General features: G+C 45.7%; 1 protein-coding gene across 18 annotated transcripts in view, besides 1 other annotated feature; it reads right to left on the bottom strand.

The window, feature by feature from the left end:
• Positions 1–21,025, bottom strand: part of HHAT (hedgehog acyltransferase) — a 348,963-nt gene that overhangs the window by 3,613 nt on the left and 324,325 nt on the right. The window lies entirely within an intron of this gene.
• Positions 696–990: a silencer, noted in NCBI's record as "tiled region #1701; K562 Repressive non-DNase unmatched - State 24:Quies". NCBI's record gives its function as "represses a minimal TATA promoter and a strong SV40 promoter by Sharpr-MPRA in K562 cells {active_cell/tissue: K562}" and the evidence as "EXISTENCE:reporter gene assay evidence [ECO:0000049][PMID:27701403]".

The raw sequence follows: 21,025 nt of genomic DNA, 5'->3' as shown, positions 1-21,025 counted from the left end.
CAAACATTTACTGGGGGCTTTGGAGAGCCAGAGATGCTGGGGAAGATACAAGATGCCGAAAGGGAAAGACACAGTCCCATGTCAAAGGCACTCCCACTCCAACTTGGGAAAGACACACACATACACCAGTGGGATTTATGATCATGTGGTAAGCACTAGATGATGGAATGCACAGAGCACATTTAAACTGGGCCACGTGGGCTGAGCAAGAGTTTGTCAGATGGGAAGGGACAGGGCCCAGCTACTAGAGGAAGACCACCTTATAGGCCATCCAAGGAACGGGGATCATGTGACGTGGCTGCTGCATAGGGAGGAGGCAGGCAGACAGACAGTGGTAGGAATAGGAAGGAGGCTGCGGGAAGCCCCTGGGGGTGATTACAGGTTCTCTTCTTGTTATGTCAACCATTAGCTGTCATGATTATTAATATGGCATGGGGAAGTCACTGTAGCATAGTGGTATATGTGCAGGCTCTTAAATGGGATGAGTTCAAATTCTGGCTCTGCCACTTGCCAGCTGTGGAACCTCGAGCAAGTTAATGAATCTCAAATGAAAAACTAGGGATACAGCAACTTACTGAATAGTGTCCTTATAAGGATGGAGTGAAATGATGTAAAGACTTGCACAGTGCCTGGCATAGCATGGGAACTAAAAAAAGGTAGTAATAGTAACGGTGGGAGGGCACAGAAGTCTTTCTCTACCAAGATTAGAGTGACAACAGGGAAGTCAAGCCCTGGTCTTCCTTGCGCCTTAGCCTGGCTTTCCACAGTGTTCTCCCAGGCCCTGCAGGCAAGAGAGGTGAGGGCAGCAGACGACCCCTGGCAGCCTGGCTCCAGGACCAGCCCCACAGCTCCACCTCCTGCTAGGCAGCCAGTATGTGTCCTGTGGCTACCATAACAACTTACCAAACTTAGTAGATTAAAACAATAGACATGTATTCTTAGTTCTGGAGGCCAGAAGTCTGAAATCAAGGTGTTGGCAGGAACTCTTCCTTACCTCTTCCAGCTTCTGGTGGCTCCTAGGATCCCTTGGCTTATGGCAGCATCACTGCCTCCATTTTCACAGAGCCTTCTTCCCTCTGTCCTCTCAAGGGCACCAATCATTGGATTTAAAGGCTACTCCAAATCCAGGAGGATTTCCTCTCAAGATGCCTGACAAGTTATATCCATAAAGAACCTATTCCCAAATGAAGTCACATTCTGAGGTGCCAGGTACACATGAATTTGCAGGGGAACACTAGCTCAATACAGCCAGGTACTTTCCCAGAACTTCCACATGGACCCATCCTGCTGGAAGCCCTCAGAGTTCTCATTACTGTGGCTCAGGCACAGATGCCAGGGGACCGGCCAACACCTGCTCCTCAGTGGGTTCAGGGAGCAGGATGAGGGGAGCGGGCTTTGGACACAGAAAGCACTCCTGGACTCCAGCTGTGTTTGGAGTGAGGCATCAGCAGTGTTTGGTAAACATGGAGCCCAGAGGCCAGCTGTGAAGATGGGCCAATGGGGATGTTTCATTTACACAATGCTAGGCCTGGGGCATTGCACAGCTCTGCTTGGCACCCGTGGCTATCAAGTGACACCCTGTGAAAGCTTCCGCGTAACACACAGGGCTGTAAGGAAGACTGTCCCCAAGACTGCCCAGAGGTGAGGCATAGACATGTTTAGCACGGGCCATAGCTAGGTTGTGAAAATTCTCCCCATTCTTACTGTATATGCCATCCAGAGAGGTGGCTAGATAGCACTTAGGAGACTTATAATCCTGACTGTGCTATGAGACCCTACTAGGGCCTCAGTTTCCCCATCTACACAATGACAGCTCAGAGTAATTTTTTAAAAGCATGCAAATAAAATAAGATCACAGATTTGGTAGTGCTTTCACAAAGTGTTTTAGAAATACAAAAGATTAATATAGGACCACTTGATAATTGTTACATGCCCACAGCTCACTGGACTTTTTAAAGCACACACCTTCCTACAGACAGTAGACGTGGCATGTACCAGACAGCTGTCAAGGGCTCCTTATCCTTTCCTAACCTCAGGAGTAAGATTTGTGATGACAGAATCATCATGAATGGTGATTCCAAATGAAGTCACATGCTGAGGTACCAGGTCCACGTGAATTCCGGGAGGAATACTATTTATCCCAATGCAGTTAGGTACTGTCCCTGAGCTTCCAGATGGACCCATCCTCCCTGGAGGCCTTCAGAGCTCCCATCACTGTGGCTCAGACACACAGGCAAGGGGACCGGTCAACACCACACCTCTTCCAGAAGAGACAGATTCTACATGTCACCCTTCAGCACTACTCAGCCAACTACTTCACAAGCCCTTGCTATATGCCTGGCCCTGTCCTAGGCATTGACTCTCTCTTGTTGGTGGCCTGTAGACACAAGGTCTCTGACTGTGGGCCTGCTAAGCAAGCACTGATGTGGCCCAGGGGGGCAGGGGTAGGCTTGGGGCAGAGCCTCATCTTCATCAGCAGCTCAAATAACAGTGGAATGGTAAGGCTGGAAAGCAAAGGGGAGAAGCTGTCATTCTGGCAACATTCCAAGGGCTGCTATGGTACACAGTCATGCAGGCTTGTTGGTCACTAACAAAAAAAGTTGGTGTCAAAAAGGGTTCTGCCCTGACAAACTCTGACTTCCTCCCCCTGCAGTCCACTGTCCCCCACCCATGCACCCCTCCCCACTGGGTATTCTCCTTCCAGGCTTTCCCTTCTCCACCAGGAGTGAGACTCCCAACCCCCATTCCTTTTATGCCAACCCCATTCTTCCCACAAGGCATCCTCCCAACATACATACTCTCACATTCTCTGTCTCTGTCTCTCTCCCCATTAATGTGGCTCATACTGCCTGGTGGGCAGTATGCTATTGGTCAAAGGAAAATATCCTTCTTAAGAGTGTACTTTAGGGCTGAAGCCCCCTACACACTCTGCACATTCAAGGCTGGGTCCCCAGAATCAATATGTGTAATTTCCTGCAGGGCTTTTGATATCTGGATCTAACAAGATCTAAACAGGTGATCAGTTTTTAACAGATCACAGCCAGGTAGCGTCAAAGATATATGAACAGGTTCCCAGAAAGTCAGACAACAGTTGCAAGAGATTGGATAATATAATTAATAGGACAGATTATTTGACAGATATAGCTAATTGCAGATAACTAGGATGTATGGCACAATAGATTCAATTAAGAGGACCAATGTAGGTGGCATAATAGGTAGAGTTAATAGGATGTAGGTGGTTGTATCATGACATTGTTAATAGGATATCAGTGAGCTGTATAATAACTACAGCTAATGAGAAACAGGTAGGACACAGAGGGAAATGGCTGAAGCGAAGAGAAGGTCAGCATTAAATTGTAATAACCAAGTAATAACTTGGTTAATTAACTAAGTAATAACTTTACTTGGCGTTATTATGGCTGACCAATTCTCTGAGCAATTATATCAGTCTGAAAGGAATGGAAAGCCTGCGGTTTGATACTGACGGAAAAGAGCATCAGCACACAGGGCCATGTGAAGTCAAAGGGTATGTTTTCTGAAAAGAGAAAGGATAATCAGAACAAGAAGCAGGTCCAGTGAAAAACCTTCTTTAAAAGGTAATGTGTGGCCAGGCGCGGTGGCTCACACCTGTAATCCCAGCACTTTGGGAAGCCGAGGCGGGTGGATCACGAGGTCAGGCATTTGAAACCAGCCTGGTCAACATAGTGAAACCCCTTCTCTACTAAAAATACAAAAAATTAGCGGGGTGTGGTGGCAGGTGCCTGTAATCCCAGCTACTGGGGACGCTGAGACAGGAGAATCACTTGAACCTGGGAGGAGGAGGTTGCAGTGAGCTGAGATTGCACCACTGCACTCCAGCCTGGGTGACAGTGCGAGACTCCGTCTCAGAAAAATAAAAAAAATAAATAAATAAAAGGTAATATGAAATGGTACAGCCACTGTGGAAAACAGTATGGAGGCACCTCCAAAAATTAAACCTGGAATTACCACATACATATCTGTATTAGTCCATTCTCACACTGCTAATAAAGACATATGCAAGACTGGGTAATTTATAAAGAAAAAGAGGTTTAATGGATTCACAGTTCCACATGGCTGGGGAGGCCTCACAATCATGGTAGAAGGCGAAGGAGGAGCAAAGGCATATCTTACATGGTGGCAGGCAAGAGAGCATGTGCGGGGGAACTGCCCTTTATAAAACCATCAGTTCTCATGAGACTTACTCACTATTCCTGAGAACAGCACAGGAAAACCCACCCCCATGATTCAACTACCTCCCACCGGGTCCTTCCCATGACCATGGGGATTGAGGAGCTATAATTCAAAATGAGATTTGGGTGGGGACACAGCCAAACCACACCAATATCCAAAGGAAATGAAGCAGGAACTAGAAGAGGTATTTGTATGCCATGTTCATAGAATAATTCACAACGGCCAAAAGGTGGAAGCAACCCAAGTATCCATCAACAAATGAATGGATAAGCAGAACATGGTGTAAAAATACAAGAGATTATTTAGCCTTTAAAAGGAAGGAATTCTGACACATGCTACAACATGGATGAACCCTAAAGACATCATATTAAGTAAAATAAGCCGGACACAAAAGAATACTATATGGTTCAATTTCTATGAAATATGTAGAGTAATCAAATTCACAGACACACAAAGTAGAATGATGGCTGCCAGGGGCTCAAGGGAGAGGGGAAATGAGAAGGCAGTGTTTAATGGGTATAAAGTTTCAGTTTTGCAAGACGAAAAAAACTCGAGACGGATGGTGATGACTGCATAACAATATGAATGTACTTAATGCCACCTAAAAATGGTTAAAATGGTAAATTTTATGTTTTGTGTAATTTACCATGACAACAAAACTATGCTGAGTGAAGAAGCCCTTGGCAAAATAATACAGTATATATTATTTATATAAAATGTATACTTACAGTTACAAAAAGCATATCGGGGGTTGCCTGGGGCTGGGCGGCGACAGGTTGTGCAGGGGCCCTAGGAATCTTTTGGGATGATGATGTTTTATATCTTGATTGTGAGACTGATTTCAAGGGTGTATAAAACTGGCAAAATTCAGCCAATTGTATACCTTGAATGATGCATTTAGTATGTCTCAATGAAGCTGACATTTGAAAATTTTAAAGATAACATTGGGATGTTAGCAAATCATAGATTTGCAGCATTAATCATAGATTAAGCATTGCAATGTCTTGGGCTTTTTATGCCTCAGGGTGTTCAGACAAAAGATGTGAGAAAAAATAATTATTTATTTATTTATTTATTTATTTATTGACGGAGTTTCACTCTTGTTGCCCAGGCTGGAGTGCAATGGCACGATCTTGGCTCACCGCAACCTCTGCCTCCCAGGTTCAAGTGATTCTCCTGCCTCAGCCTCCCGAGTAGCTGCATTTACAGGCATGCACCACCATGCCCAGCTAATTGTGTATTTTTAGTAGAGACAGAGTTTCTCCTTGTTGGTCAGGCTGGTCTTGAACTCCTGACCCAAGGTGATCCACCTGCCTTGGCCTCTCAAAGTGGTGGGATTACAGGCATGAGCCACAGTGCCCAGACCAGAATTCATTTTTTTTTTTTTTTGAGATGTTTTGCTCTGTCGCCCAGGCTGGAGTGCAGTGGTGCAATCTCGGCTCACTGCAAGCTCTGCCTTCCGGGTTCACGCCGTTCTCCTGCTTCAGCCTCCTGAGTAGCTGGGACTACAGGCACCCGCCACTGCGCCCAGCTAATTTTTTGTATTTTTAGTAGAGATGGGGTTTCACCATGGTCTCGGTCTCCTGACCTAGTGATCTGCCTGCCTCGGCCTCCCAAAGTGCTGGGATTACAGGCGTGAGCCACGGTACCTGGCCCCAGAATTCATTTTTAAAATGATGGTAGGCCAGGCATGGTGGCTCATGCCTATAATCCCAGCACTTTGGGAGGCTGAGGCGGTCAAATCACTTGAGGCCAGGAGTTCAAAACCAGCTTGGCCAATATGGCAAAACTTGGTCTCTACTAAAAATACAAAAATTAGCAGGGCGTGGTGGCGTGCACCTGTGATCATAGCTACTCAGGAGGCTGAGGCACCAGAATCACTTGAACCCGGGAGGCAAAGGTTACAGCAAGCCGAAATTGTGCCACTGCACCTCTAGCCTGGGCAACAGAGTGAGCCTCTAAAAAAAATATGTAATAAAAATAAAAATAAAATAATGATGGACCTTCGGTCCTTCATCTTCCTAGGGGCAGGGGGACTTATCATGTGTAGGACTGAACACTGGGCTCCCCTAATCACGCCTTCTTCCCCTGAGGCCTCTGTGGGGCAGGAGGACTGGAAAAGCTTTCTTAACCACACAGATGCATTCAGCAGTGGGAAGGCTGCTGTTGCTGAACCAGCACAAATTCCTATCCCAAGGAAGAAATCAATCCATCCTAATGGGAGATGAGTTAATTGAGTTGCTGAATTGTGTCTGAGCTATCAATTACCCCATCAGAGGCTCACTTGGCTGTCAGGCTGGGCAGCACTCCCGAGTCTGTGACCACCATCTTGTCTCTAACAGGGCTGTTTCAAAGACCACATCCTACTGGTACCCATTTTTAGAAGACAATGGCTGATGGCCAGCACATGAACAAACTTCAGGGAAGCTTTCTTCCTAGCCACCCAGCACCATAGTCTCTGTCTACATGCAAATGGTCTACAAAGAATATGCAATCTACTACACCATTTACAACAAAGAATACACAATCTTAGTTAATTCTTACAACACTCTGAGGTAGAAATTACTATTCTCATTTTAAGAGGCAGAAACTGAGGCTCAGAAAGGTAAATAACTTGTCATAGAGCACCCAGCTAGCAGATTCTCAAACTTTGGTTTTGATTTCAATCCAATAGTGATATTCTTGCTTGAAGCCACATCACCTCACAAAGGCCCAGAGTCCACATCCCAAGCCCAGGGTGGCAGGTTGAGTCCTATGTGGAAAACAGTCTGAATGATGTCTGTCCCTTAGTTTTTTAAATCTACCATTATCCACGATTTATCTAGCATTAATACTGCCTTAACTTCCTCCCTCCTTCCACCAAGGCAAGTTTTCTAGCTAGAGGCTCCAGCACCCCACTGCCTGCTGTCCCTCTGGCTCATCCACTGTGCAGTCATCAACTTTCTGGTTCCCAGTTCTGAGGGCTGAACAGCGCTATGACCTTCCCAGCTTGGCTCTTGGGTCCTTTCAGCTAAAATGATAGATTCTTACTTTCTGGTCCCATAGAGTAATGTCCCCCCAGTGACTCAAAACCATTCTAAGGAAGGAAAGAGAGGAGATTCCCATCACTCCTAAGAACCACCAGGTTGTAAAGAAAACAAGATTCACCTCCTAAGACAAACTCTTCTTGGTCAAAGCCTACGTCTGCAAATGTGAAGGATATATTAGGTTGGAACAAAAGTAATTGTAGTTTTGTCATTACTTTCAATGGCAAAACCTCAATTACTTTTGCACCAACCTAATATGATTCTTAAATGTCACCAACATATCCATCCACGTCCATGGGGTGCACTATGCACATGTAACAGCCCACACAGCCAACCTGGTTAAGACCAATATGAAACTGATAAATTTCAACCTCCAGAGGGTTTACTAATGGGCTGGCTCAGAGAGGGATATATCCAATGGGGAAGTAGAATGAAGGGAAAGAGGCGACTCCAGGAGATGCTGCCAAAGAGGGATTTATAAGACTTGGTGACTGATGAATTTGGGGGCCTCTCTCACTGACCCTGAGCATAGCCTCAGCATGTGCCCTCAAGGCTGACACTCAGCTGGTGTGCATCAGAGAGACTATACCTGACATTAAAAGAATGATATGCTACCCTAGAGTGAGTAAAAGCCATGGTCCTGGCCTCTCCCTCATGACTTGTCTTCTGCTACAAAAAGAGGGGTCACATGTGGTTCTGCAGAGGCCCCAAGGGCCTGCTCCTGCACTTGCCACCATCTCTTTGGATCCACTGGTCCATGCCTGTGCCCTGCCATTTGTTAGATATCCTGAATATCAGCCCCTAACTGTATGTACATATCTCTGCTTTGGTGGCATTTTCTATTTTGAGGCCACTGGAGGATGAGTGCTTCTTTCCTTAAAGAACTGCCTCATGCACCAGACCCTAGACCTAGGGTGCTGACACCGGATCTGGAAACACACTGGCCCTGCCCTGGCACTCTCTGCACCATCCCACCAGCTTCACAACCATTATCTCATTAATTATTCAGAATGACTTTATGCACTGCTGCCTTCATTCACTGAGCTGGCACTGACAGCACTTAGTTTAACCATGTTCAGATCTGATAGGGGGAAACGATAAGGTGGCTTGGCAGCTGTATTTAAATCTTATTTACTCTAGTAGTTGCAGTCTGGAGATATCATGGAGTCATTCATCAAATGGCCCTAAGCCTGCAGACCTTCCTCCAGAGCTAAATTTAGAGTTTTAATCTTAATAAGCCTATGAGGCAGGAGCCTTCTCCCATCAGAGGGCTGGTTATCTTATCAAAAGATACACAGCAACAGCAAAGCTGCCTCAGGCTTCTGAGCCTATAAACCACTGGATCTAACTCCAAACGTGGGGGAGATGGACAGAAGCTTTGAAGAACAGGCTTTTGCTACCTTAAGGCTCTAATGATAATTCCTTACCCTCACAGAGTTTACATACCTGGAACTCAAACCCCGGTGTTCAGGCCTCACAGTTTTTTCAAAAAATGGTCAGCTGTCACTTTCACTTTCACGTCCTCTCAGGAGAAAGGACTAGATGGTTGTCATCTATTCGAAATTGAAGCAGAAAATCCCAGAACAGCAAGTCTGCATCAGAATCACCTGGAGGACAGGCTGAAACGCAGACTGCAGGGCCCCACCCCACAGTTTCTGATCCAGTAGATCTGGGGTAGGCCTGAGAATCTGCATCTCTAGCAAGTTCCAGGTGATGTGGATGCTGCTGGTCTGAGAACCACACTTTGGGAACTACTGTTGTAGGGGAATCTGCAGGGGGAAGGGCATTCTACTAAATTGGGTGCTCACGCATGGAGCAGAGGAGACAGACATTTACTGAGCATTACATGTGGCTTGGCTGGGTACATCCCTCATTCTCACAACCACCTTATCACACAGGTGTCACCAGCCCCATTTAGTAGATACGGAAACTAAGGCTCGGAGAAGTAGCTTTCCCAAGGTCTAAACGCTCATTGGACATTAGAACTCAAGGCTGTGTGGCTCCACAGTACACTTGACCATTGAAGCTCAGACAGCAGCAGCTTGCTTCAGGTCACATGGTGAACGTTGCTGGCCAGGATTCTTTTCCTTTAAATCCTTGGCCTTCAAATCTCATTTCATCCCCCTACTCCAGGTGCTCAAGGTAACAGAGAGGGAGAAGCTTCAGGATGGTGTTTTCAGACCTCAGCTAGCACTCACTCACTCGGTCCCCCCATCTCCTGGGGCCGCCCTTTCTTGTCGCTGTGGTGGGAGACAGAGAAAGCATAGATGAGCACGCTTATATCCTTTGTCTTGGTTAGTGCCTAATTTAGACTGTGAGCATTGAAGAGCATGTTCCCAGTGCCTGCATGACCCTTTATTAAAACTGTTAAAGCCACAATTATATGGCCCCTGCTAAGGGCTGAGCCTGCAAGAGGATTTGGCAAGGAGAGACAGAGGAAGGGGCAGCTGGGACCACCCTCAGGGAGCTTCCTCCATTCTGAGCAAGAGATCCTTGCTAGGAGCTGAGTGCACATTTTAACCAGCACAAACAGTTGTCTTTAATAAATCACACTGTTCACAGTCAATTTCACATCCTGATGAGGCCAACTTCTACTGCATTTTTCATCCTTCCCTAACTCCCGATGCAAGCTCTGCAGGCAAGCACTTACTAAAGCACTCACTTCCATGAAGTAAAATCATTCCACCTGAAATGCAGGGAGTGGGGAGGAGAACTAGCCAGAGCCACTTTTTCTTATTCTGACAGCACAAGCAGAAGGGGTGCTGAAAAAAAACAAATATTTTCTCTCTCCAGGGACAACTAGGTAGGGGACCTGCTTTCCAGAAAACTGTCCACTGCAGTGGTTGCTATACCCCAAATCAGGCCCCTGGAGCCAGAGGCTGCACAGTCATAACACACTTCCCCAGCTGTTTCTCTTCTTTAACCTGTGTTTTTATTCCAGCCTAATTAGGAGTGTTGTGCATTATTAATTCATGACCACACTATAAAACACAGTGGACGCTGCCTAGCAAATGAGCTCACAGAAGTCACTTTCCTGAAACAGGGATGGCACACCACGAATCAGGCTTCTTGTCAGACACCCCTGACAACCGCTCACCCACATCCATATTTATGAAGCACCTACTGTGTGCTTAGCATTCAGACAGGCAGCCTGGATTCTTGCCATAGGCAGTCTGCGTCTTCATTTGAGGCCTTATGTGAAGGTGCCACCGAAGGCTGAGGGCAAACTCTGGGGCCACCACGCTCCTCCCCTACAACTTATGTTCAGCTCCACAGCTCTGGGATCCAATTGTGCAGATGACAAAAGGCTCAGTGACAACAAAGATAACAGAGACAGGATTTCCAAAAACTAGGTAGGCTGTGAGGATGAACTAACACTAATAAGTTAAAATTGAATAAGATAAAAACAGCTAAACTTAGCAGATTTTATTTTATTAATTTTTTAAATTTTTTTAAATTATACTTTAAGTTCTACAGTACCTGTGCACAACATGCAGGTTTGTTACATATGTATACATGTGCCATGTTGGTTTGCTGCACCCATTAACTCGTCATTTACATTAGGTATTTCTCCTAATGCTACCCTCCCCCTGCCACCCACCTGCCAACAGGCCCTTGTGTGTGAGAACATGTGGTGTTTACGGTGATAGTTTGCTCAGAATGATGGTTTCCAGCTGCATCCATGTCCCTACAAAGGACATGAACTCATCCTTTTTTATGGCTGCATAGTATTCCATGGTATACATATGCCACCTTTTCTTAATCCAGTCTATCATTGATGGACATTTGGGTTGGTTCCAAGTTTTTGCTATTGTGAATAGTTCCGCAATAAACATACGTGTGCATGTGTCTTTATAGCAGCATGATTTGTAATCCTTTGGGTATATACCCAGTAATGGGATGGCTGGGTCAAATGGTATTTCTAGTTCTAGATCCTTGAGGAATCACCACACTGTCTTCCACAATGGTTGAACTAGTTTACACTCCCACCAAAAGTGTAAAAGTGTTCCTGTTTCTCCACATCCTCTCCAGCATCTGTTGTTTCCTGACTTTTTAGTGATTGTCATTCTAACTGGTGTGAGATGGTATCTCATTGTGGTTTTGATTTGCATTGTGATGATGAGCATTTTTTCATGTGTCTGTTGGCTGCATAAATGTCTTCGTTTGAGAAGTGTCTGTTCCTATCCTTTGTCCACTTTTTGATGGGGTTTTTTCTTTCTTGTAAATTTGTTTGAGTTCATTGTAGATTCTGGATATTAGCCCTTTGTCAGATGGGTAGATTGCAAAAATTTTCTCCCATTCTGTAGGTTGCCTGTTCACTCTGATGGTAGTTTCTTTTGCTGTGCAGAAGCTCTTTACTTTGATTAGATCCCATTTGTCAATTTTGGCTTTTGTTGCCATTGCTTTTGGTGTTTTAGTCATGAAGTCCTTGCCCATGCCTATGTCCTGAATGGTATTGCCTAGGTTTTCTTCTAGGGTTTTTTAATGGTTTTGGGTCTAACAGTTAAGTCATTAATCCATCTTGAATTAATGTTTGTATAAGGTGTAAGGAAGGGATCCAGTTTCAGCTTTCTACATATGGCTGGCCAGTTTTCCCAGCACCATTTATTAAATAGGGAATCCTTTCCCTATATCTTGTTTTTGTCGGGTTTGTCAAACATCAGATGGTTATAGATGTGTGGTGTTATTTCTGAGGTGTCTGTTCTGTTCCATTGGTCTATATCTCTGTTTTGGTACCAGTACCATGCTGTTTTGGCTACTGTAGTCTTGTCTTATAGTTTGAAGTCAGGTAGCGTGATGCCTCCAGCTTTGTTCTTTTGGCTTAGGATTGTCTTGGCAATGAGGGTTCTTTTTTGGTTCCATATGAACTTTAAAGTAGTTTTTTCCAATTCTGTGAAGAAAGTCATTGGTACCTTGATGGGGATGGCACTGAATCTATAAATTACCTTGGGCAGTATGGCAATTTTCACAATATTGATTCTTCCTATCCATGAGCATGGAATGTTATTCCATTTGTTTATGTCCCCTTTTAATTCGTTGAGCAGTGGTTTGTAGTTCTCCTTGAAGGGGTCCTTCACATCCCTTGTAAGTTGGATTCCTGGGTATTTTATTCTCTTTGAAGCAATTGTGAATGGGAGTTCACTCATGATTTCGCTCTCTGTTTGTCTGTTATTGGTGTATAGGAATGCTGTGATTTTTGCACATTGATTTTGTATCCTGAGACTTTGCTGAAGTTGCTTATCAGCTTAAGGAGATTTTCGGCTGAGACAATGGGGTTTTCTAAATATACAATCATGTCTTCTGCAAACAGGGACAATTTGACTTCCTCTTTTCCTAATTGAATACCCTTTATTTCTTTCTCCTGATTGCCCTGGCCAGAACTTCCAACACTATGTTGAATAGGAGTGGTGACAGACAGCACCCCTGTCTTGTGCCAGTTTTCAAAGGAAATGCTTCCAGTTTTTGCCCATTCAGTATGATATTGGTGGTGGGTTTGTCATAAATAGCTCTTATTATTTTGAAATACATTCCATCAATACCTATTTTATTGAGAGTTTTTGGCATGAAGGGCTGTTGAATTTTGTCAAAGGCCTTTTCTGCATCTATTGAGATAATCATGTGGTTTTTGTCATTGGTTCTGTTTATATGCTGGATTACATTTATTGATTTGCATACGTTGAACCAGCCTTGCATCCCAGAGATGAAGCTGACTTGATCGTGGTGGAGAAGCTTTTTGATGTGCTGCTGGATTTGGTTTGCCAGTATTTTATTGGGGATTTTCAAATCAATGTTCATCAGGGATATTGGTCTAAAATTCTCTTTTTTTGTTGTGTCTCTGGCAGGCTTTGATATCAGGATGATGCTAGCCTCATAAAATGAGTTAGGGGGGATTCCCTCTTTTTCTATTGATTGGAATAGTTTCAGAAGGAATGGTACCAGCTCCTTTTTGTACCTCTGGTGAATCTGTCTGGTCCTGGACTTTTTTTGGTTGGGAGGCTATTAATTATTGCCTCAATTTCAGAGCCGGTTATTGGTCTATTCAGAGATTCAACTTCTTCCTGGTTTAGTCTTGGGAGAGTGTATGTATCAGGAATTTATTTCTTCTAGATTTTCTAGTTTATTTGCATAGAGGTGTTTATAGTATTCTCTGATGGTAGTTTGTATTTCTGTGGAATCAGTGGTGATATCCCCTTTATCATTTGTTATTGCATCTATTTGATTCTTCTGTTTTCTTCTTTGTTAGTCTTGCTAGTGGCCTATCAATTTTGTTGATCTTTTCAAAAAACCATCTCCTGGATTCATTGATTTTTTGAAGGGTTTTTTGTGTCTCTATCTCCTTCAGTTCTGCTCTGATCTTAGTTATTTCTTGCCTTCTGCTAGCTTTTGAATGTGTTTGCTCTTGCTTCTCTAGTTCTTTTAATTGTGATGTTAGGATGTCGATTTTAGATCTTTCCTGCTTTCTCTTGTGGGCATTTAGTGCTATAAATTTCCCTCTATACACTGCTTTACATGTGTCCCAGAGATTCTGGTACGTTGTGTCTTTGTTCTCACTGGTTTCAAAGAACATCTTTGCTTCTGCCTTCATTTCGTTATTTACCCAGTAGTCATTCGGGAGCAAGTTGTTCAGTTTCCATGTAGTTGTGCGGTTTTGAGTGAGTTTCTTAATCCTGAGTTCTAATTTGATTGCACTGTGGTCTGAGAGACAGTTCGTTGTGATTTCTCTTCTTTTACATTTGCTGAGGAGTGCTTCACTTCCAACTATGTGGTCAGTTTTGGAATAATTGCAGTGTGGTGCTGAGAAGAATGTATATTCTGTTGATTTGGGGTAGAGAGTTCTGTAGATGTCTATTAGGTCTGCTTGGTACAGAACACCCCAATGTCAATATTAGACAGATCAATGAGACAGAAGGTTAACAAGGATATCCAGGACTTGAACTCAGATTTTGTTTTTTAATCCAACTATACAAATATGGAGTGGCAGAAGTGAGGGAACATGATATGGAAGTAGCAGTTGATGGATGAACTTATATCTACCTGGGAATGATAAGACTCTGCAGAAGACAAGATAGTTGCTGCAAATATATAAAAGTCTACTTTAGAAGAGTGATGTCAAGAGGTCTGAGCACCCTCAGGGGCAGGGCTGGGAGGAAAGAGTAGATGCTGGGAGGAAAAGGGACACTTGGGCCACTGGACACCCAATGAAAGCTCGAGAGACTGAGCTTCCTTGGGCAGGGGCAGGACAGCATGTGGGCCGGAACATAAGGGAGGAGATTCCTCCTTTGATGGGAGGTAGAACCCGGTCTGAGAGCCTATGAACTTGCCTTCTTTCTTCCTACGTCCCTAGAACCAGGGCATGCATGGTAAAATGGTCAATGAATAAACAAAGACGAGACTGAAGGAACACAGGGTTGACTTCAGAGTACCCATTCATAAGACTGCCAGATCCATGCTTCAGGCCATTAAAAATAATAGTTGTGGCAAAACCTCTGATCAAGACCACAACCTCTGTGTACATTTGGCCCTCATTTTCCAAGCCTGTGCAACATAGTCAATTGACGGAAGTGCCCACAGTCTAGGCATCCTCTACACTTGTGGAAGTGCCTGGGAGAAGAGGCATCTGGCGCACACTGGCCCTAAACACCTGGACTTACCAAGGGAGGGAAGGGCAGGAATGCACTCCACACACCCACTCTTCTACCACCACCAAATGAAAATGCCATAAAGAGCTGAAAGGGAAAGGAAAGAGAGTGATGCCTAAACTACGTGAACATCTCAAAGGTGATGTCAGCAAATGCTTCTGACATGTTCTTTTCCTAGAGCAGTTGTTGGATAAAGAATTCTAAATTACTTGACTTGAATTTCTGAGCAAAGAACAGAATGATAAAGCCAAGTTCCCGGGGGCAGCAGCCATGGCCACAGCAGCTCTTCCCAGAGCTCTCAGAAGCGATGATGAGCTAGGATTGCCAGCCACTGCTCTGGAAGGGGAAGGAAATGTTCCTGCCTGTCAAAGATGCCTTTGTTCTCACCTCCATGTGCCCACTGTGACTGCAGTCTATTTTGCTCATCAACACACTGAAGATTGGGACTGGTTGAAAGCTGGAGGTATTGTGGAGCAAGAGTTTTCTGTGCATAATCTTCCAGCAGCAGCTGCTGCTCTTCATCCAGGAGTGGACTAGGTTGTCCAGAGGCATCCCCACTGTCTCCCCTGGTCCTCCTGCCTAAGAGCAGGCCAGGCTGTGCCTGTGGTGCAGTAGGTGGCTGTGGAGCCATTTCTCATGAAGGCTCCTGAGGCCATAGATTTGGTCTCACTAGTGCTCATTTTAACCACCTGAGCTACCTTCTTCAAAAAGAACTTGACTGGAGCACAGAACAGTTCTGATATTAGTTTGGAAAAAAATGTGGCTCCAACATTTACAAATGATATTTGGAAAAGGCATCTCATCTCCTAGGTCCTGTACAAGAAGGGGTGTGGGGAACACAGGTAGAGGCATCCAAGCTCAGAGATGCTACAGTGGTGGCGCTGTCCACATCTACCCCAGCAGCCAGCCCCTGGAGGGGAAGCAGTTTGCCATGCCTTGGAAGCACAGGGCATTTAGGGGGTCCTGGGCACCAGGAAGAGGCATCACAGGGAGAGGCCCACTGGGATGTCAGGGAGTCTGGGGGCCCTCTCTGCTAAAGAAGCATGAGAGCTGCCTGGGGATGGGGCAAGGGCTCTTATATCACTGTTCAGGGCAGAGAAAAGGAATACAGAAGACCCCACATCTCTACCCTTCCTCCATCAAACCCACGTGGAAACCCTGGCGACCAAGGGTTCTCTGCTGACGGTGAGCGGAGAGGCACTGGGCTGTCTCACGCTATAGCTGCTCTTCCTGGCGTGACCCACTTCCCCTGCAGGAGCATAAGGCTATGGAGCCACTGGGGAGCAGGGGATGAGCACGGCTGCCTGGCCCTGGAGAGGAGCCATGATCACTGCTGCTGTCATCTCAGGCCACATGGGAAACAAGAGGCTCAAAGGGCAGGGGGACGGGGGGGGTATGTGTGCTCAGCCTGAGGGTAAGAGAAAGCACATGCGTGACTGTGGACTCCAGCTAGGCTGAGTGGCTCCAGGTGCCATGCCGTACAAGTGACACTGTCACACAGCCGCCACTTCCTCTATGTAGGTCTAGAAGGGCTCTTCTATGGGAGGTCTAGAAGGGCTCCACATGGGGACATGAAGATAAATAAAAGTGTAGCCTAGAAAAAGACCATGAGGTCACCTGGAAAGGGAAATGGACTTAGTCTATGTCACTCTAGAAGGCAGAACCAAGACCAATGGATGGAAGTGACAGGAGATGAATTTTGGCTACTGTCAAAAGGAACATATAACATTTAGAGCCTCCGAACAGAAAGTGGGCATCTTTGTTTGGAATCACTCAGCATCTGGGCAGTTTGGGAAGCTGTTAGGAAGGCATCCATTGCAGATATCTGCCTCCGAGAGAAGGCGGGACCAGATGATCCCTACAAAGGTCCCTTGTAATTCTAAGAGGTTACAGTCCTATAAAATATAGGTCTTCAAATCATCCTTACCTCCCCCCAGAAAGTCAGTCCAAGGAATAAGCTAAAAGACCACTGCAGAAGCAGGGAGAGGAGGGGCATTTGTCTGTAACTGGAGCAGAAGGCAGTGTTCTAGCAAACTGTGGAAACGTCAGAGGAAATGGCAAATTTTTAAATGACGTACTCATGAGGATATTTACCTGACGTATAAAGTGACTCAGATACATTTTTTCCACTTCGGTTACAGAGAAAGACGTTTTTGTGCCTTACAGACCCTGCTCTGAGGGAACCTCTGTTGCCACAATCAACGGCAGGTCTGCCCAGGACAACAGGCAAGTCCTGGTGGGTGCTCCGAGCCCAGGCTGGGATGGGTATCCTCTGCACCTCCAGCAAGAGTTCCTCTCACAGCAGCCCTGCTCACTGGGCTGCCTAAATTTCCTACACTTTGCAGGAGCTCACAGGGAAGAATTTCCTCTTCACTGGCTGATCTGCTCAGAATCAAACACCAGTAACCAATTGTCTACAGGGTCAGAGGAGACAGAACAGGGCGCCATTGACATGGATCAGAGGAGAAGCCAGTCAAGACAGCCAGGATCTCAGTGATTGCGACAATCACTAATGAGGCATTAGCACCCTCCCTGCCTCCTCCATGCTTTCTGTTCAGGCAGCTGGAGTGGCAGGGAGGCTGGGATCCTTTGGGAAACTTTTCCCAGCTATTTATTCTCTTCCTGGTAATCTTTACATGGGGTTAATTGTTGGCCTCCGGGGAAGGGGCCTCAGCTGCCGCAGCTTCTGGCTGGTTATGTTTGTGACCTCAGAGCACAATATTTACATGATGGAGTCCTTGCAGAGTTTCCAGATGCTTCTTTGGTTTTGGGTCAGTTCGGGACGTGGAACCAGCCTCCTTCAATGGGCTTTCTCTGATTCCTCTAAAGTGATGGGGTAGTGCCTACAAGGGTCAGCCCTATGGCTTAGATCTGAATTTCTTCCCGTGTCCCAAAAACTGGAGCTTGAGGTGATGTCCAAAGAAGGAACTGTGATAGTACCCTCCCTGTGCCCCTGGTACATCTCTGACATCACCCTTGGGAGGAGTACTGACCTAGGCTGTTGGAACCCTTCCCATTGCAGAGCCTCCCACCTCCTTCCTAGGGGCTGCACTGTACTCATTCCATGGGGAAGATATGGCTCTGTTCTTGCCATTTGGCTGGGAACAATCTGATCTGAAGATAAACTAACCATCATGCGACTCTCATCATTCAACACTTATTGAGCTCCTACTATATACAGAGCAGTAGGCTAAGTGCTGGGATACCAGCGATTAAAAGGCTGCCTTTCAGTTGGGGTAGGGAGAAAAGAATCTGATGTAAAACAATAAATCAGAACCCCAGGGTGTTTCCTGATGTTAATGAATGATTCATTCAACATTTATTATGCCTTTTCTGTGTGCTGGGCACTATGCCAAGAGCCAGGGCACATGGGATGACAGAACTGGCTTCTGCCCTTGGAGAGCTACAGTTTAGTGGAGGGAGGGACCCAGGCATTCATGGTGTGGGTTCTAGAACACTGAGAGCCGGTGGAGAGGACACAGGAACAGACAGGGCTAAGGACGTGTAGAAATGGGGACTGCCTTGATTCTATTGGTCGCCAGTGCATGAAGGGAAAGGCCAACCATGGCTCACTATTATTCCACTGTCACACTACTCCCATCACACTATTCCGCCATCACACTATTCTGCTGTCACACTATTCCACTGTCACACTATTCCCATCACACTATTCTGCTGTCACACTATTCTGCTGTCACACTATTCCTGTCACACTACTCCCGTCACACTATTCCACCGTCACACTATTCCATCACACTATTCCCGTCACACTATTCTGCTGTCACACTATTCCCATCACACTATTCCCGTCACACTATTCCCATCACACTATTCCCGTCACACTATTCCACTGTCACACTATTCCCATCACAGTATTCCACTGTCACACTATTCCCGTCACACTATTCCACTGTCACAGGCACACCTTCTGGTGGTTTCCATCCTCCATGAAGACCCTCCCTCAACAAGCAGAAGGTCTGCCCTCCAGCTCCTGCCCCAGCACCTCAGCTGCTCTGGCCTCCAGCATGACTAAGATTTTTTTCAAAAAATTTAATCTCTTTTTGACCAGATAATGCATAATATAAAATACAAAAGGTACCAAAGGGTAGGCAGGGAAAAGGAAATCTCCCCTCACTCCTCTGTCTAATCCCTCAGTTCCTCCCCCTATAGGCATCTCCTGTTCCCATTTCCTTGTTTATCCTCCCACAAATATTGTATGTACACAGAAACATACACATTAAATGGTATTTAACTTTTTTTTTTTTTTTTTGAGACAGGGTCTCGCTCTGTCACCCAGGCTGGAATGCAGTGGTGCGATCTCAGCTCACTACAGCCTCAACTTCTTAGGCTCAAGCAATTCTCCCACCTCAGCACCCCTCTCCCCCAAGTAGCTGGGAGCACAGGGATGCACCATCACATCCAGATAACTTTTGTATGATTTTTTGCCAAGGCTGGTCTCAAACTCCTGGGCTCAAGCTATCTGCCGGCCTCAGCCTCCCAAAGTGCTGGGATTACAGGTGTGAGCCACTGCACCCAGCTGGTAGTTGACTTTTCATTCTAAAATATGTATTGTTTTTGAACCTAAGTACTACACACACTGTTCCTTCCTATTTTTTAAGGTTCTATATCTTGGGAATTGTCCCATGTATGTATGTATGTATGTATGTATAAAGCTGTTTTGATCTTTCTAATGGCTTAGTAGAATTCTGCAGAATGGATATGCCGTAAGTGATTCACCTGGTGGCCTCCAGTGGACATTTATGTCTATTCCAATCTTTTGCTATTACAATGGATATCCTTGTATATTTCATTTCACATGTGTGAAATTATGTCTGGATGTCAAAGTCCTAGAAGTGGAACTGCCGGGTCACTTTTGAGAGATACTGCCAAACTGCTCTCTCTAGAGGAGCTGGCACTTTATACTTCTACAGGAATCTATGAGGTAAAATTTTTGATCTATGCCAACCTGGTGTAGTACCTTGTCCTACTTTCAATTTGCATTTCTCTTTTGCAGAGTGAGGTTGAGTGTCTTCTCATTTGCTTCAGAGACATTTGCATTTCCTTTTTCTGAGAACTCTCTGTACCCTTTCCCCATTCTTCTTACAGGCTGCTGCCTTTTTCTTATAGATCTACACGAGTGAGGCAGTTAATACTGCACCAGCCTGAAGGGTGTTCTGCAGCCCCCTTGGAGGGCACAGGCAAGGGCACTGAGTTGCGGGAGCCTCCATAGGCAGGGCCAGGCCTGGGACTGCCTGCTTGGCTGGGAGCAGTTTACAATGGCCGGGCACCTTGATGTCTCCAGGTGCTCACACGCTGGGCTCTGTGCTCAAAGAACACAGTGGGCCCCGGGTTCTGCCCTCTGTAGCAGCTCAAATTTCACTGTTTCTGAATCTTTATTAAGCGAGGAAATCAAAACCAACTTCCTTACTACTGGCATCATAATCTCTGCAAGGGGTTCATAGTGAGCCACCACCTACAGGAAAGGCTGTATGCTACTTCTATTTTCACTCTTAAGACCCTTCGGCTAGAGAGCTAGAGATAAGAATTTGTTTTGATTCCTCCATTCTTTCTTTCCTTCCTTCCTTTATTCCTATCTCTACTCCCTGTTCTCTCTCTTCCAATCCCCTCTATTCCATCTATCATCCCATCCACCCACCCATTTAATACTACTTGGGGTGGGCAAGGCTTTTCTCATTGAGACTTCTCTCTTGGAAATGTCATGATAGAGTGGCTGATGTGTATCCAGCATCTATTCCAATTACTTCCTCCAGCTCTTGACAGCTAGGCTTTCCTTCAGTTCAGAGTCAGTCAGGATGGATGATGAATTAGCCTCAGCCACACCATTTCTGGGCCTCTCAAGGTCAGGACTCAGGGCTCCTGTGGGCCCCCACCTCCAGCTCCATTAGCCCCTTTCCTGGGTTGCCCTTACTGACAACCAAGCCCTGGCCTAGAGGCCACCAGGGCTGCTTTACTTACTTGGATGCCCAGGTTTTCCATGATCCTCTCTGGGATGGTCTAGGCCCTATGACTATGCTTGTTTTGCATCTCAATTCTGAGCAATTCCTATTGCAGTGTAGCAGGAGAAGAGGACAACTGAACTTCCTTCCTATTTCCAGTTCTTGTCAATGTCCCTCCAGCCCTAGAAGG

Source organism: Homo sapiens, chromosome 1 (genome assembly GCF_000001405.40).
Source record: "Homo sapiens chromosome 1, GRCh38.p14 Primary Assembly".
Lineage (NCBI taxonomy): Eukaryota > Metazoa > Chordata > Mammalia > Primates > Hominidae > Homo > Homo sapiens.
This window is presented reverse-complemented; position numbering and strand designations above follow the sequence as displayed.